The sequence below is a fragment of the Homo sapiens genome, chromosome 1 (assembly GCF_000001405.40).
Source record: "Homo sapiens chromosome 1, GRCh38.p14 Primary Assembly".
Taxonomy (NCBI): domain Eukaryota; kingdom Metazoa; phylum Chordata; class Mammalia; order Primates; family Hominidae; genus Homo; species Homo sapiens.
Window position 1 is genome coordinate 40,897,138 of NC_000001.11, and position 18,187 is coordinate 40,915,324.

The 18,187-nt window shown below is 45.9% G+C and overlaps 2 annotated features.

Annotated features, from left to right (window-relative positions):
* Positions 911 to 2,110: an enhancer, noted in NCBI's record as "BRD4-independent group 4 enhancer chr1:41363720-41364919 (GRCh37/hg19 assembly coordinates)". NCBI's record gives its function as "activates an origin of replication core promoter dependent on BRD2, P300/CBP, MED14 and CDK7 cofactors, and independent of BRD4, by STARR-seq in HCT116 cells {active_cell/tissue: HCT116}" and the evidence as "EXISTENCE:reporter gene assay evidence [ECO:0000049][PMID:35650434]".
* Positions 5,380 to 5,674: a silencer, noted in NCBI's record as "tiled region #1319; K562 Repressive non-DNase unmatched - State 7:EnhWF". NCBI's record gives its function as "represses a minimal TATA promoter and a strong SV40 promoter by Sharpr-MPRA in K562 cells {active_cell/tissue: K562}" and the evidence as "EXISTENCE:reporter gene assay evidence [ECO:0000049][PMID:27701403]".

Here is an 18,187-nt window from a genome sequence, read left to right on the forward strand (position 1 = left end):
ACCTCAGCCTCCTGAGTAGCTGGGATTACAGACGCCTGCCACCATGCCTGACTAATTTTTGTATTTTTAGTAGAAATGAGGTTTCGCCACGTTGGCCAGGCTGGTCTGTAACTCCTGACCTCAGGTGATCCGCCCGCCTGGGCCTCCCAAAGTGCTGAGATTACAGGTGTGAGCCACCACTCCTGGCCTCTTTTTAAATTATTTATTTATTTTATTTTTGGTAGAGACAAGGTCTCGCTATGTTGCCCAGGCTGGTCTCGAATTCCTGGGTTCAACCTATCCTCCCACCTCAGCTTCCCAAAGTGCTGGGATCACAGGCGTGAGCCACCATGCCTGGCCAGCTCTGAAAGGTTCTGACAGAGTCTAGTGACATATGTGTAGCTCATGCTTTGGGGGCTGTTTAAGGCTCCTGGGGACTTATCTACCTGTTTTTCTTAGTCCCTCGCCCTGGTTTACAGACCATTCCCAAGGGACTTCCTGTCTTGCCTTCCTGAGTCACTGCTGAGCTTTGAAAACACGATACATGTGCTGCTTTTGACCAGCCACCTCTTCACTGATTCCGTCTAGTCTCTGTGTTTTCCTTTGCTGGGTGTGACTCTTTGAATCAGACTTCCAGAATGTTAGGGCTGAAAGATCATTGCATCCGAATGCCCTCCACTGCTCACTTGTGGGACCTGAGGTGCAGAGAGGAGAGGATGAGTGAATGCAGATACATCCAAGGTGGCACAGAAGAGGGTTTTAGGTGATACATGGACAAACATTTTGTTATTGTAATAGCTATATTTAAACAGACTGTACTGTTGCTTAGGCTGAGGCTAAATTTATTTAAGTAAAATAGTCCAATAAAGAAAAACACAAAGCAAAAATATCTTACAGATTATAAAAAATGATGAAAGTAGTACAGGAATGAGTGACATTTGGGAAATACTACATTGATGAATGAGTGGGTGAATGGATGAATGAATGAATATATCAATGGATAAGGTACAACACTGGAATCTTTAGGATTCATTTTCTTACAGACATGGAATTTTTTCCCAGTCCTTGCACTTCAAGTCAGAGAATCATCATGATCCCACGAAACACCAGCTCAGCCCCCACAGGTGCTATACTTTTGACGAGATGGAACACAAATGGATTACTATGCAGTTCTCTTTTTTCCAGGTCAGCAAAGTCCAAACGCAGGGGCAACTGAGTGTACCTTTTAAGGTGAATGTCTTGAACTCCAGTTGCTCCGCCTCCTTTGGGTTGCTATGACCTTTTTCCTAATCTTAAAGAGAGGAAGAGCTTTAAGGGCCAGATGGGGTCTCTGGTTTCCCACGGGGCTCCCCAAAGGCAGCCCTTCTTGGCAAAACCCTGGGCCCATGCCAGGACTGAGTCATAGAAGGGAAAGTACCCTGGGTGGAAGTTGGACAGTGACCTTGGGCAAGCCCCTTCCCTCCTTCGCTGGGTCTTAGTGCTTCCTCTGAGAAGCAAGGAGGTTTAACTCCACCTCATTCGTGCCTTCATTCAATAAACACCAAATGCATTCCTGGCATTTGCTTGGTATGTGGGCAGATAAATAGAGTAATTGGATTCAGTGCCTGGAAGAACCCACAGTCAGGTTGGGTGGGGAGAAGGCACCTAAGGGCCTGTAATTACAGATATGTTTAAGAAGGGCTAGATGATGTGGACAGTCCCTGCCCACTCCGGGATCCCTAGAATGTGTCAGTGCAGGGGAAGGAATACATAAGTAACTTGGCAAGGTCACAGGGTTACACCCAGAAAAATGTTAGCCCTTGAAGTTAGGGACAGCCCTGGGCCTAGCTCCTGATCCTTCTCCATCCTACAGAAAACCTGCTGAACATGGATTTTGGAGTTGAGCCAATTCAGATTCCAACCCCTGAGCAGACACCAACTGGAACTGGAAGCGTCACTCTCCGGGCCTCAGTTTCCTCCTTTATCCAAGGGGGATAGGCCCTGGGATCCTAGGACATATGAGGGTTCCATAAGATAAGTATAATGTGTATCATGTCAAGAGCTCAGCACAGGGCCTGGCCCATTGTACGACTCCACCATCAAGGCAGGAGGTCGAATGGACATCTGTCCACTCTGGAAACACACCCACCTCTTGCCTCCCTTGGCTGGTCCCAGGGTTGGCTCTCTTTCTGGGGCCCTCTTACCCAAGAGGTCTTGCCTTAGTCCTCTCTTGACCCTTTGAATGCTCTCAGGGGCTTCCTCTTCTCAGGCCAGAGCCTCCCCATTGTACACCTCTGCTCTACTGATCTGGCTGTGAACTGGTATGTGCCAGAGACAGGGAGGAGGCTGGTAGGGCTGGGATTCCTTGGGGGAAAGCTGGCCAGAGCTGCAGGTTCCCCGACTCTCTTCCCAGCATTAAATTAGCACTGGAGCTGCCTGGTCTTGCCCAATAACTTGCCCAGGACAAGGTGACATCCTTCCTCCCTTCTTTGAGGCAGGACTGAGTGGCTTCCTAGAAGAAGACAGGCAGGACAAGCCAAGACGCACCCAAAGAATGGGGGAGGGAACCTGATTGGGGGAGAAGATGGGAGAGTCTGGAGCTTGGGGCAGCAGTGGATGGAACAGGTTTGCCCACATTCCTGGCAGGCCCCAGGATTCCAAAGCACTTTCTGTTTTTGTCACTGCCCCACCAATCACATACTCTGCCAGGGCCACAAGGCACCAGGCTTTTCAGAGCACCAAGCCCTTCCACCTTCACTTCTCATTCTTCACACCAAAAGATGGGTACTACTGGCTCTGTTTTACAGATGAAGAAATTGAGGCTCACAGAGGAAGAATCACATGCCCCAACTCGGAAGGGCTGATACAATTAACATTTAATGGCCAGGTGTGGTTGCTCATGCCTGTAATTCCAGCATTTTGGGAGGCCGAGGTGGGTGGATCACTTGAGCCCAGGAGTTCAAGACCAGCCTGGGCAACATGGTGAAACCTGACTCTACAAAAAATACAAAAATTAGCTGGGCGTGATGGCACGTGGCTGTAGTCCCAGCTACCCAGTAGGCTGAGGCAGAAGGATCACCTGGGCTCCAGTGGTCGAGGCTACAGTGCGCCATGATTGTACCACTGCACTGCAGCCTGAGAGACAGAATTAGATCCTATCAAAAAATAAAGTAAAATAGCCATTCACTAAGAACTACTATGAACCAGGTGGATTTCATACAAAAATCATCTCTGTTCCCAATATCCCAGCAAGGTGCCCATTTTACAGATGAGCAGACCAAAATGCAACCTGATGAAAGCACTTGCCCAAGGGCCCAGAACTAGCAAGCACAGAGCAAAGATGTGAACCTAGATTTGTTGGACTCCAGATCCTACCCCTTCTCAATGTTAAAGGCAAGGAAGCGGAGGCTCAGTAAGGTTCAAACCATGTCCAAGGTCATACCACCAGCAAGGCAAAGCCAGTTTTCAACCCAGGTCTGTCTAACCCTGCAACTTCTGTGTTTGCCGTATGCTACATTGTCTCAATAAACCTTTTTTTCATGGAGCAACTGGCTGATGCCAAATGACTACAACTGTATCTCAAACAGATAAAGATCCAGGACAGAAAGGGTCATGAACTATTATTACCATTATCATCAACGCTATTATTAATTGCTAACATAGCAGGGTCAGCATTTATACTGTATGATTCAGATTTGCAGAAATAAAACTTTCCTTCCACAACTGAACCCAACGCGATCACAACTCCTCTTCCCCTGATTTATTTCTGGGTTAAAATGTATTTTTTCATGACAACTAAATGCAGTGGGAGAGCGTGCATTTTCTTTTGCTTTAAAGGACATTTGGGGACAATTGGTAAAATCTGAAATAAGTCTACAGGTTAGATAATAGTCTTGTATAATGTTAATTCTCCAATTTTTAATTTTCGTGTTAAAAAAAAATTTTTTTTGAGACGGAGTTTTGCTCTTGTTGCCCAGGCTGGAGTGCAATGGTGCAACCTCGGCTCACTGCAACCTCCGTCTCCCAGGTTCAGGTGATTCTCCGGCCTCAGCCTCCCAAGCAGCTGGGATTACAGGCGCCCACCACCATGCCCAGCTAATTTTTGTGTTTTAGTAGAGACAGAGTTTCACCTCGTTGGTCAGGCTGGTCTCGAACTCCTGACCTCAGGTGATCCGCCTGCCTCAGCCTCCCAAAGTGCTGGGATTACAGGCGTGAGCTACCACGCCCGGCCTAAAAAATTTTTTTAAGATAGGGAGTCTCACTATGTTGGCCAGGCTGGTCTCCAGTTCCTGGCCTCAAGTGATCCTCCTGCCTCAGCCTCCCAAGGTGCTGGGATTATAGAGGTGTGAGCCAACATGCCCGGCCAATTCTCCAAGTTTGATAACTATACTGTGGATATGTAGGGTTACGTCCATGTTTTTAGGAAATACACACTAAAGTATTTAGGAACAAAAGGGCACTATGTGGACAACTTTTAAACATTTCAGAAAAAAATACACATGCACATGTGCACACAAACACAGAAGAATATAGCAGATATAGTAAAATGTTAACATTTAGGGAATTTGGATGAAGGGATTCAGAATTCTTTGCCTTACTCTTCCAACTTTTCTATAAATCTGAAATTATGTCAATACCAAAAAATTTAGACAAAAATATTTAGTCTTGTTTGGAAAAATCGTCAGCTCAGGATCTGAACTTGCTGTTAGGGTTGCTCGTCTCTCGGTGGTGCCTTCTCCTTCTGTCCAAGGATCACATCGGGTGGCAGAGGAGCCTTACCTAACACCTATGGGCTTGGGCCTAGGCTTCTGGGCTTGATGGCCCTATGGGCTGCCTTGCCCTCTGTGGTGTCTGGTGCCAGCTTCTCCCCATTGCTTCTCTGCTGGTGTCACTGGTCCTCTCTGGCTTTGGGCCTGGGCATACGTCACTCCTGAAGCCTCCAGCCACGGTGTCTGTTGCCAGAGCTGTGTGCTCTGAGCCCTCCTCATCCTGACCCCAAGCCTCTCACAGGTTCCTCAGGGCTTAGATGTGTCCTACTGGAAACTTCTGATGCTTACCCATGACCCACAAAGGCCTCAGGGGAGTCAGACGTTTGTATGAGTCAGTCTCATCAGGAACACAGAAAGCAGACTGGTTGCTTTAAGAGAGGGAATTGAATAGAAAGAATTGACTATTTCAACAGGAGTTTTGATGGAGACAAAGAAAAACAAAAAATTTTAAATGTTTTTAAAAGAACTGACTAAACATTAATTGACAGATGGAAAAGCCGGCGGCATGAGAGCGGAGGTAGTAACTGCAGGAAACAGACACCACCCCTAGGGAAGGGAGAACAAGGGAGGAAGTTAGGTGTCAGGACCTAGCAGCTGGGACCCAGACCCGGAGGAGGGCATGGCTGTAACTGGTGCTGGTGTCTCCGAGGGGCCACAGTGGGGCTGGTTCTGGGAAGGTGGGGAAAACCTAGAAACTAGAACCGCTTGCTGCTGGAACCAATTTCCTCTGCCAGGGTGAATGAAGGGCCATCGCTGAGGCGATGGTGACAGGATGGAACGGTATGCTGAGACCTTTCTTCCTGGGACCGCCTTGCACCCTCCAGGGTCCCCTATTGGCAGAGCCTATCCTGGAAACAGCTGACGGAACAGAAATAGGGTGGGCCCCAATGCCAGCCCCAGCGTCACCAGACGGCACATACAGGGATAGGTTTGGGGACAAGGGCTGATAGCTTCAGAACTGGTACGTGGAGGGAATGGGGAGCCGTGGGGCTGGGCCAGAGAGAACGTTGCTTCTCTCTCTCCCTCAATAGGCCTCACAGCCATTCCACCTCCCGTGGAAGGAGGCATACGCCCCTTAGTTCATTGGTCTTCTACTCCTTCCACTGGGCATTCACCCTAAGCAGATGAGACCTGAATCCCAGGCACTTGCTCTCTTTTCTATGTTTCTCAGTCCATCCAGGAAGAGTTTCTTGCCTGACCTGAGAAATTACCTACTTGATGACATCAGGGAAACTTTTATTCCTTGGGTCATCCAAGTTTCATCTCTTGATTTTTTTTCCTTTTACTTTTTATCCTCCTTGATCTGTTAATAAATCTCTTGATATTTAAAGAGAAGATTTTGAAAAAAATGTGTCTCTTCTGTATATATTGACTTTGTAGTTGAGTGCCTGGATCTTTAAAATAATTCTGCTTTGGACTTTTATAAGAGTCCCATTTGACATTCAAGGCTGAACAATGACTTCTTTCTCTCAGGCTATACTCCAGTGCCCCTTCAGACAATTGGTGAAGGGCCATTAAACAGAAAAAAAAAAAAGTTGGTGAGGAAGAAAAAGGCTCAATTAAAAAGCTCCAAATATGACCCTGCTCTACTACTGTGAACTGAGTACTATGTGCTTGGATGTGTTAAGGACGGAGGCCATTGCCATGTGAAGAAGGTAGGAAGGTCTCTTTGACTTCAAAGCCCTAGGTTTTCCCCACTGGGCTATCCCACTTTTCTGGGGCCATTTCTAGCCTTTTACCTTTTGATAAACTGAGGCCCAGGAGGCTACTATGCAAATCAGTATTGAATCCAAGTTCAGGAGCAGTCTAACTTGGGCAAGTCACGTAAGCTTACTTTATGTAAAACAGGGATGTTGTGAAGATTTGAGGTAATGGATGCAGAGTTTTGGGCACAGTGTCTAGAAAAAAGTGGGTATTTGATAAATGGTACTACTACTACTAATAACAATAATTAATGTTTATTGCCAGGCGTGGTGGCTCATGCCTGTAATCCTAGCACTTTGGGAGGCCAAGATGGGGGGATCACCTGAGGTCAGGAGTTCGAGACCAGCCTGGCCAACATGGCGAAACCCCGTCTCTACTAAAAATACAATAAATTAGCCGGGCGTGGTGGGACATACCTGTAGTCCCAGCTACATGGGAGGCTGAGGCAGGAGAATTGCTTGAACCCATGTGGTGGAGGTTACAGTGAGCCGAGATCGTGCCACTGCACTCTAGCCTGGGCTACAGAGCGAGACTCCATCTCAAAAATAACAATAATAATAATAATAAACTTTTATTGACTGGTTACTATGCCAGGCTCAGGGCTAAGCACTTTTCATGTGTGAATTATCTTCATTTAATTATTTGATTTAATTATTTTAATCCACTGCCTCCCTCCATTCCTGCTGGAACACACAGAACCTACCTTCCGTCTTCCCACCCTGACCCACTGAGAAACCTCAAGCTTTGGACTTGTCCATGCTGCCCTCTAACCCTAGATCACAGTTCTGAGTGTGAATACTGCCAGCCCAGAAGAGAACATTCATGCTGGATGCAGTGGCTCACACCTGTAATCCCAGCACTTTGGGAGGCTGAGGTGAGTGGATCACTTGAGTCCAGGAGTTTGAGACCAGCCTGAGCAACACGGCAAAACCTCATTTCTACAAAAAATACCAAAAAAAAAAAAATTATCCAGGCATGGTGGTGCACACCTGGAGTCCCAGCTATTTAGAAGGCTGAGGTGGGAGGCTCATTTGAGCCCAGGAGGCAGCAGTTGCAGTGAGCCGAGATCATGCCACTGCACTCCAGCCAGGGTGACAGAGTGAGACCCTGTCTCAAGAGAAAAGAAGGAGGACATCCATTGCACTCAACTGCACATGCATTGGGATGGTTGGAAACATCTGCATGACCTCCTGCTTTTTGTTAGTATTATTGTTGGATTCTTTCATCGAGCTATTTGCATGTTGTGTAAACTGCAGTTCCCAATATTTGTGAAAACATTTTGTTTGCTTGTTTGTTTAATTGGGGAATTTGAAGGCTTTGTGATTTTATTATTCTTGTTGGTTTTTTTGTTTGTTTGTTTTTGAGACAGGGTCTCACTCTGTCACCCAAGCTGGAGTGCAGTGGCGCGATTTTGGCTCACTGCAACCTCTGCCTCCTGAGCTCAAGAGATACTCCCACTTCAGTCTCCTGAGCAGCTGGGACTTCAGGCGAGCACCACCACACCCTGCTAATTTTTATATTATTATTATTATTATTATTATTATTGTACAGACAGAGTTTCGGTATGTTGCTGAGGCTGGTCTCAAACTCCTGGGTTCAAGCAATCCGCCTACGTCAGCCTCCCATAGTGTTGGGATTACAGATGTGAGCCACCGCACCAGGCTTCCTGTTGGTATTTTTAATCTATTATTTTGAAATGATTTTAGATTTACAGAAGAGTTGTAAAAGGGAACAGAGAGTTCCCATATAACTTTCACCCATCTTCCCTTTTTGTTACATAGCCATGGCAGGAAAATCAAAACTAAGAAATTGACATTGCCAGCTGGGCATAGTGGCACTTGCCTGTAATCCCAGCATTTTGGGAAGCTGAAGTGGGAGGATCACTGGAGACCAGGAGTTTGAGATTGCAGTGAGCTATGATTGTGTCACTGCACTTCAGCCTGGGCAACAGAGTGGGACTCTCTTAAAAAAAAATTGACATTACCACAACACTATTAACTACACAACTACAAATGTTATTTAGATTTTGCCAGTTTTTCCATGAATGTGCTTTTTCTGTGCCAGGATTCCAGCCAGTATATCATGTTGTATTTAACCATCATGTCTCCTTACTCGCTTCCAATCTGTGACAATTTCTTGGTCTTGTTTTTTCATGACCTTGGCACTTTTCTTTGGTGTTTTTTGTTTTTGTTTTTTCATTAGAGATGGGGTCTCAATTTATAAGCCAGGCTACAGTACAGTGGCACAATCATAGCTCACTGCTGCCTAGAATTCTTGGGCTTGAGGGATGCTCCCACATAGCTGGGGTTACAGGAACCTGCCACCGTACCTGGCTAATTTAAAAAATTTTTTTTTTTTTTTGTGGAGACAGAGTTTCTCCATCTTATCCAGACTGATCTTTAACTCCTGGGCTCAATCCATCCTCTTGCCTGGGCCTTCCAAGGTGTTGGGATTACAAATGTGAGCCACTGCACCTGGCTTATTGGCAGTTTTTTATTTTATCTTATTTTATTTATTTATTTATTTATTTATTTATTTATTTATTTATTTGAGACAGAGTCTCACTCTGTTACCCAGGCTAGAGTGCAGTGGCAAGATCTCGGCTCATTGCAACCTCTACCTCCTGGGCTCAAGTGATTCTCCTGCCTCAGCCTCCCGAGTAGCTGGGATTACAGGCATGCACCACCACACCCAGCTAGTTTTTGTACTTTTAGTAGAGAGCGGGCTTCACCATGTTGGCCAGGCTGGTCTCGAACACCTGACCTCAAGTGATCCACCACCTCAACTTCCCAAAATGCTGGGATTAGAGGTGTGAGCCACCGCGCCCAGCCCCATTGGCACTTTTGAAGAGTACTGGTTGGGAATTTTGTAGAATGTCCCTGAGGCTTTGTCTGATATTTCTCACTAGACTGGAGTCATGGATTTTGGGGAATACCACAGAGGGGGAAGCATCCCTCACCTTAAATAATATCTGGGGATATATGAGATCAGCATAACTTGTTGCTGGTGATGTTAACCTTAATCACTTGGTTAAGGTTATGTCTGCCAAGTTTCTCTGTTGTGAAGTTGCCATTTTTCCTCTTTCCATACTCTAGAAGCAAGTCACTAAGTCCAGTCCGCACCAAAGGGGAAAAGAATTAAGTCCCACTTCCCAGAGGAGGTGTATCAAAGAATCTGTGGACATCTGTTAAAACCACCATGGTCATTAATATTTTGAAGAAAATGCTTTAAGGCTATCCAAATGTTGTGTTGCTCCTTAACATTTCATTCACTCTTTTAGCATTCATCAGTGGATCTTGCCTTTTTAACATAAATAATGTCACATTAGCCATTGTTTGACAAAATACATAATGTCAATAAGCTATTGTGAAATCAGGTCTTGTATTGTACTAACCACAATAAAATCTACACGGTCTAGATGAATTTAAAAGGTATTGCATTCAGGGCTGATTCAGAGCTGGGACCTGTGGCCATATTAGCTTAATTATTGAAATACATCTGTCCCTACTCTGTTCTAAGTCCCATTTCTGCCCAACTCTTGGGAAACCTCTCCACAGTTAAAAACAACTTTCTAGACATTTCTGTTAAGTATACTGTGGTATTATGACATATATTGGTTTTTGTGCACAGTTCCGGGTTCATAACTCCCATAGCCCTTGTTACAGTCTTTTGTTACAATGTTGGGCGTGTTAGGCCTCAGGGGCAGGCCTCAGGAAACAGAATCTCTCTTTCTTCTGCCCTCCTTTCATCTGCCCCAAGGCAGGCCTCTAATCTACCCCCACCTTTCTGACTATGAGTATTAAGACCCTGTACACACTGAGGAAAGGAATGCTGATGTCATGAAGCTTCTATAAAAACCCAAAAGGGCCAGGTGTGGTGGCTCACACCTGTAACCCCAGCACTTTGGGAGGCTGAGGTGGAAGGCTTGAGCCCAGGAGTTTGAAACTAGCCTGGGCAACATAATGGAACCTGGCCTCTACCAAAAAAAAAATTAAAAAATTAGCCAGGCATGATGGTAAAAGTCTTTAGTCCTAGCTACTTGGGTGGCTGAGGTAGGAGGATCACTTGAGCCCAGGAGGTCAAGGCTGCAGTGAGCTGTTATCCATGCCACTGCACTCCAGCCTGGGCCACAGAGCAAAAACTTGTCTACAAAAAAAGAGAAAACATGGCCAGGCACAGTGGCTCAAGCCTGTAATCCCAGCACTTTGGGAGGCCAAGACAGGAGGATCACCTGAGGTCAGGAGTTCTAGACCAGCCTGGTCAACATGGCGAAACCCCATCTCTAGTAAAAACACAAAAAATTAGCTGGGCGTGGTGGTGGGCGCCTGTAGTCCCAGCTACTTGGGAGGCTGAGGCAGGACAATCTCTTGAACCTGGGAGGCAGAGGTTGCAGTGAGCCGAGATCATGTCACTCCACTCCAGCTTGGGCAACAGAGCAAGACTCTGTCAAAAAAAAAGAAAGAAAGAAGGAAAGAAGGAAGGAAGGAAAGAAGGGAGGGAGGGAAGGAGAAAGGAAGGAAGGAGAAGAGAGAGAAAGAGAGAGAAAGAAAATAAAAATAAAAAACAAAACAAAAATACCCAAGAGGACTGGGTTGGGAGAGCTCCGGGTAGCTGAACACGTGGAGGTTCCTGGAGGGTGATGTGCCCAGGGAGGACATGGAAGCTCTGAGTCCCTTCTCCCATACTTTGCCCTCCACGTCTCTTCATCTGTATCCCTTGTAACATCCTTTATAATAAAGCAGTTAACATGTTTCCCTGAGTTCTGTGAGCCGCTCCTGCAAATTAATCCAACCCAAAAAGGGGGTCATGGGACCACAACTTGAAGCCAATCCCCGCACTGGCTTCAGGAAGTTTTGGAGGCCCGGACTTGCAACTATTTCCCAGGGACTAGGGAAAAAGAGAAGAGAAGTGTCTAGGGATGGGAGGACCGTCCTGGGGACTGAGCTCTCAACTGTGGGATCTCACGTTATCTGCAAAGAGACAGTGTTGGAATTGAATTGGAGGACATCCAGCTGCTGTCCGCTGGTTGGTGTCTCAGGAAAACTTCCCCTCACATTTGATCACAGAAGTCTTCTCTGTTGATTGTTGTGGTGTGTGAGAGTAGGAGAAAAACACGGTTTGGATAGAGTTTTTTTTTCCAACACAAGTACATATCAGAGTTTTATTACAATCTTGCTTCAAGGGGAAAGGTCTCTAGTGGGCCAATCCAAAGATTCACTCCTGGAAGGGACATTTTATGAGAAAAGAGAATGGCCAGCATAATTATTATTAGATGAACAAGAAAAAGAACATATCACCCTATATCATTAAGGCAAGGACATGGGCTTTGGTACTACTTTGTTATTCCCCATGATCCAGTAACTAAAGCAGCAGTGCCTGGCTCAGGACCAGAATGCTGCCCGCCTCTCACCCCTAGCTTGGGGTTGGGCCAGCCTCCATTCTGATGGTCAGCCCTGTGCTGGAATGGTTGTTAATTACTTGACTAGTGTCCAAGTTTTGGGTATCCACAAAACAAGACATATTAATTATTATTATCATTATTGAGATGGAGTTTTGCTCTTGTTGCCCAGGATGGAGTCCAATGGTGCAATCTCGGCTCACTGCAACCTCCGCTTCCCGGGTTCAAGTGATTCTCCTGCCTCAGCTTCCCGAGTAGCTGGAATTACAGGCATGTGCCACCAGGCCCAGCTAATTTTGTATTTTTAGTAGAGATGGGGTTTCTCCATGTTGGTCAGGATGGTCTCGAACTCCCGGCCTCAGGTGATCCACCCACCTCAGCCTCCCAGAATGCTGGGATTAAAGGCATGAGCCACCGTGCCCGGCCCTTTATTATTATTATTTTGAGACAGGGTCTGTCTGTCACCCAGGCTGGAGTCCCATGACGCAATCAGAACTCAATGCAGGCTTAACTTCCCTGGCTTAAGCGATCCTCCTGCTTGAGTAGCTGGGACTACAGGCATGCGCCACCATGCCTGGTTATTTTTTTTTTTTCAGTAGATATGGGATCTCGCTATGTTGTCCAGGCCAGTCTTGAACTCCCAGGCTCAAGCGATCCTCCTGCCTCATTCTCCCAAAGTACTGGGATTACAGGCATGAACCACCATACCTGGCCAAAACGAGGCATATTAAATAATCAGTCTACAGTTTGGTTCAGGCATAGTTTGATTTGGTTCAGAGAAAGCAGTCTTTAGAGCCAGCAAGAGTAGGTTTTGAAAACCAGTATCGAATACAAGTTCTGGAACAGTCTAGCATTGGGCAAGTCATGTAAGCTCATTTTATATAAAATGGAGATGTCATGAGGATTTGAGATCATAAATGTGAAGTTTCTGACACAGTCCCTGGGAAATAATAGCTATTTGATAAACGGTAGTACTATTAATAATAAAAATAGTAGTAATTAATAAACATCTATTGGCTAGTTACTATGTCAGGCACAGAGCTAAACACTTTGCATATGTTAATTATTTTAATTCTCACATTAAATCTATGAGTTAGATGCCTTTAGTATCACCCCCACTCTATAAATAATGAACTTGAGGCTCAGAGAATTCAAGTAACACATTTTAAGATCACACACAGCCAGGCGCAGTGACTCACGCCTGTAATCCCAGCACTTTGGGAGGCCAAGGTGGGTGGATCACCAGGTCAGAGTTCAAGACCAGCCTGACCAACATGGTGAAACCTCGTCTCTACTAAAAAAACAAAAATTAGCAGGGCATGGTGGCGCATGCCTGTAATCCCAGCTACTCGGGAGGCTGAGGCAGGAGAATTGCTTGAACCCATTATGCAGAGGTTGCAGTGAGCCAAGATTGCGCCGTTGCATTCCAGCCTGGGTGACAGAGCGAGACTCCGTCTCAAAAAAAAAAAAGAAAAAAAAATCACACTACTAGGCCAGGTGCTGTGGCTCACGCCTGTAATACCAACACTTTGGGAGGTTGGGGTGTGAGGATCACCTGAGGTCAGGAGTTCAAGAACAGCCTGGCCAACATGGTGAAACCTTGTCTCTACTAAAAATACAAAAAAAAAATTAGCTGGGTGTGGTGGCACACGCCTGTAATCCCAGCTACTTGGGAGGCTGAGGCAGGAGAATCACATGAACCTGGGGGGCAGAGGTTGCAGTGAGCCAAGACCGCACCACTGCACTCCAGCCTGGGTGGCAGAGTGAGACTTTATCTCAAAAAAAAAACAAACAAAACAAACAAAAATTACACAGATGCAATGTTGGTGGAGCTGAGATTCAAACCCAGGCAGCCTGGTGTCAGCACCTCTATAATAAACATGCAATAAACATGAGCACCCTCTAATCCCTTGCAACAACTCTAAGCCTTCCAGAATTCTACAGCCTGCAGGTTGGGAGCTCCTGCTATAGACCTGACAGAGGCCTTTGGCTACTTAATGAAATATTCTGACACCAGGAGGGTTGCATAGTTATTTTTCTAACTTTACAGCAAGAGGAAGACAGGTCAAAAAAAAAAAAAACAGATTTATGCAGTTACCCAGAAACAGAGATATTTGGCTGACAAGGTACGACTGTTCAGAAATAGTCATTGGACAGTACTTTCCCCCAAAACACTGTCTCAAGGTCCCTGTCAGAGGTGTTCAAACCAGAGGACTCCATTTTGAGTGAGGGCAAGGAAAATGAGGCTGGGACTTGCTGGGCTGCCTTCCCAGAAAATCAGGCATTCCTAGCCTCTAGATGTTTACGGTTAAGGGAGCAAATTAACAATGTTTACTAAAACAAACCCAGACTTGGGAGTGTGCAGGTATCTCGATATCTGGAGAATGAAGGCATTCCTAATTTTGTTTTAAAGATAAAATCGATTCTTGCAAAACACAGTAATTAAGAAAATTAATTATTTATCACAAACCCTTGTAACAGAGCACATCTCATATATGCAAGCATGGCACCTAAGGTGGATGCATTCCTCCTCTTACTTTCAGGAACATCCTGTTCTATGGAGTAGCTGTCCTTTTGCCACTGTACTTTCTTAATAAACTTGCTTTTGCTTTGCGCTGTGCGCTTGCCCTGAATTCCTTCTTGCATAAGATCCAAGAACACTCTCTTGGGGTCTGGATTGGGACCCCTTTCCTGTAACATCCCCATTCGAGAATTACTGTCTCGGTGGCCGGGCGGGCGCAGTGGCTCATGCCTGTAATCCCAGCACTTTCGGAGGCCGAGGCGGGCGGATCACAAGGTCAGGAGATCGAGACCATCCTGGCAAACACGGTGAAACCCCGTCTCTACTAAAAATACAAAAAAATTAGCCGGGCGTGGTGGCGGGTGCCTGTAGTCCCAGCTACTCGGGAGGCTGAGGCAGGAGAATGGTATGAACCTGGGGGGCAGAGCTTGCAGTGAGTGGAGATCGCGCCACTGCACTCCAGCCTGGGCGACAGAGCAAGACTCTGTCTCAAAAAAAAAAAAAAAAAAAAAAAAGAGAATTACTGTCTCTTCTACTTTCCTAGATGTCACAAAACCTCCTAAAATTCTGAAGATAACAAATTGTTACAAAAAGAAACTTTTTTTAAAAAAAGAAAAAATAAATACATAAAAAAGAAAAAATCAGGACTTCTCTTTCATAAAAAATGAAAATGGGAGTAATCTGCTAAAAAATTATTTTTTTTTCCTGGTTTAGCATAAAAGGTTCCAAAAACTCCCCCTTGTCTCTCCCGCCGAGGGTAAGGTGGGAAGCAAGGTGGATCCTCCATGACCCACCTCCATCCCCACAAGTGAACTTTTTTGTTTCTAAGTTCTGGGCCCTGCTTAGGGGCAACTCAGGATCTATTGTTTAAGAGGAGTTGTCCAAACCTTTCAAAGTGGGAATGAGAGGCCCACTCCCACAGTATGGGTCCTGGGACACTAAGAGTCCCAGCCAGGACCCAGCGTGGTGCCCAGGCTGATGCCCCGCCGGCTCTCACTGCTTAGAGCATGATGGAGAGTTCACCAGAGTGAGGAGGGCCACACTGGAGAGCCAGAGCCATGCCCCCTGGCAGAGAAGGTGGCATCAGATGACTGTCCCATGGGCTTTAAGACTCTTTTCCCCATTTTGGGAGTGAAAGAGCAGGTTCACTTCTCTTGGATTTTAGAAGTTCTGGCTGTTCTTGAATGACCCAAATTGTCAGAGTGTTGAGGGAGGAGAGGCACTGCCCACAAAGGATGATCTTGGACTTTGTGCCAGTCTCACCAGGGGGTACTCAAGTCACATTTGTTTATTTTATTTTATTTTATTTTATTTTATTTTATTTTATATTATTTCTTATTTTATTTTATTTTATTTTGTTTTTTGAGATGGAGCTTCGCTCTTGTTGTCCAGGTTGGAGTGCAATGGTGCAATCTTGGCTCACTGCAACCTCTGCCTCCCGGGTTCAAGCAATTCTCCTGCCTCAGCCTCCTGAGTAGCTGGAATTACACAGGCATGCACCACCATGCCCGGCTAATTTTGTATTTTTTTAGTAGAGACAGTGTTTCTCCATGTTGGTGAGGCTGGTCTCGAACTCCTGACCTCAGGTGATCCGCCCACCTTGTCCTGGCAAAGTGCTGGGATTACAGGTGTGAGCCACCGCGCCCAGCCTTTTTATTTATTTTTAAATTGTATTATATTTAGAGACAGGTCCCTCAGCTGGGCTCAGTGGCTCATGCCTGTAATCCCATCCCAACACTTTGGGAGGCCGAGGCAGGTGGATCACCTGAGTCCAGGAGTTTGAGACCAGCCTGGGCGACATGGTGAAACCCTGTCTCTATTTTTAAAAAATAAATAAATGAATAAAATAGAGACAGGTCTCACTCTGCCACCCAGGCTGGAGTGCAGTGGCATGACTACAGCCCACTGCAGCCTCAACCCCCTGGGCTCAAGTGATTCTCCCAACTCAGCCTCCCAAGTAGCTGGCACTACAGGAATGTGCCACCAGACCCGACTAATGTTTTTGCTTTTTGTAGAGACAGATCTCTCTATGTTGCCCAGCCAGGTCTTGAACACCTAGCCTCAAGTGATCCTCCTGCCTTGGCCCTGGAAGCACTAGGATTACAGGTGTGAGCCACAGTCCCTGCTCAACACTTTAAATTCAATTTCAATAAGAACAATTTTAGGCCAGGAGCAGTGGCTCACACTTGTAATCCCAGCACTTTTCGAGGCCAAGGTAGGAGGATCACTTGAGGCCAGGAGTTCAAGACCAGCCTGGGCAACATAGAGAGACCTTGTCTCAATTAAAAATATGTATATGAAAACAATTTTTTTGGCCAGGCATGGTGGCTAACACCTGTAATCCCAACACTTTGGGAGGCCAAGGCGGGCGAATCACTTGAGGTCAGGAGTTTGAGACCAGCCTGGCTAACATGGTGAAACCCCGTCTCTACTAAAAATAAAAAAATCAGCCGGGTGTGGTGGCGGACACCTGTAATCCCAGCTACTCAGGAGGCTGAGGCAGAAGAATCACTTGAGGTGGAGGTTGCAGTGAGCCGAGATCGCACCACTGCGCTCCAGCCTTGGCAAAAAGAGCAAAACTCCATCTCAAAAAAAAAAATAATAATAAAAGAAAGAAAGAAATATTTTTAAGTACTTTGAGGCCAGGCGCAGTGGCTTATGCCTGTAATCCCAGGACTTTGGGAAGCAAAGGCAGGAGGATCACTTGAAGCCAGGAGTTTGAGACCAGCCTGGCCAACATGGTGAAACCCCATCTGTACTGAAAACATACAAAAATTAGCCGGGCACATTAGCTGGGTACATACAAATTGGTGGCGCATACCTGTAATCCCAGCTACTCAGGAGGCTGAGGTATGAGAATCACTTGAACCAGAGAGGCAGGAGTTGCAGTGAGCCAAGATCGTGCCACTGCACTCCAGCCTGAATGACAGAGACCCTGTCTCAAAAAAAAGAAAAGAGAGAGAGAAAGAGAGAGAAAGAAAGAGAGAAAGAGAAAGAAAGAAAGAAAGAAAAAAGAAAGAAAGAAAGAAAGAAAGAAAGAAAGAAAGAAAGAAGGAAAGAAAGAGTGAAAGTTACTTTGAGAATTCTTTTTCAGTGCAGAAGCATATAACAATGACTTTCTGCTGTATCACCCCACCGGGGTACAGCGACATCTGGAATGGGGACTTGGCAAGACTTGGCACACCAAATCACCAAGCTTTTCTTCATCCCCATCACCCATTCATGCTTAATTCACTTGGGAACCCACAAAGCTCCTTTGTGTGCGGTGAGCCAGAGCATCCGGATATTTGGAAGGGCCTGGGCTGGTGTGGTCCTCTGAGCAAGCAGAGGGTACAGAGAGTCACTTCTGCTGATGAGGTGGGAGCCAGGAAAAACAGAACTAGGAGGAAAAATAACCTGCCACCAAAAAGCTCCGGTCTTATGGAAAAGCAGTATCACTTTTGAGGATCCCTCATATGACACATGGAACTTTCATTATTCATTGTGTTTCGAGACAAAAGATCTTTCTGTTTCTGCTCTATGCTGAAACATTCTAAAATTATTTGGAGATGGAAACCAGTTTTGAAAGCCCCAGGTACATCCTCTGTTGGCAACCGACAACCATCCTAACAGAGGGCCTAGCACATTATCCCACACCCCGACAGTTAATTCAAGGCCATAAAGCAAGTTTTACTGAAGATTTCATCAGAAGAGGGAAGACAGAGTTACACTGCACACTGCAGAGTAAAACTTAGTAAAAATGTTGATTAGATACCTCCGTTTTCTCCTCCTGCCCCAGAATTTCCTTCTTGGCTGCCAACCCCCCATCTCCTATTACCCCTCAACCTGCCTTTGCCC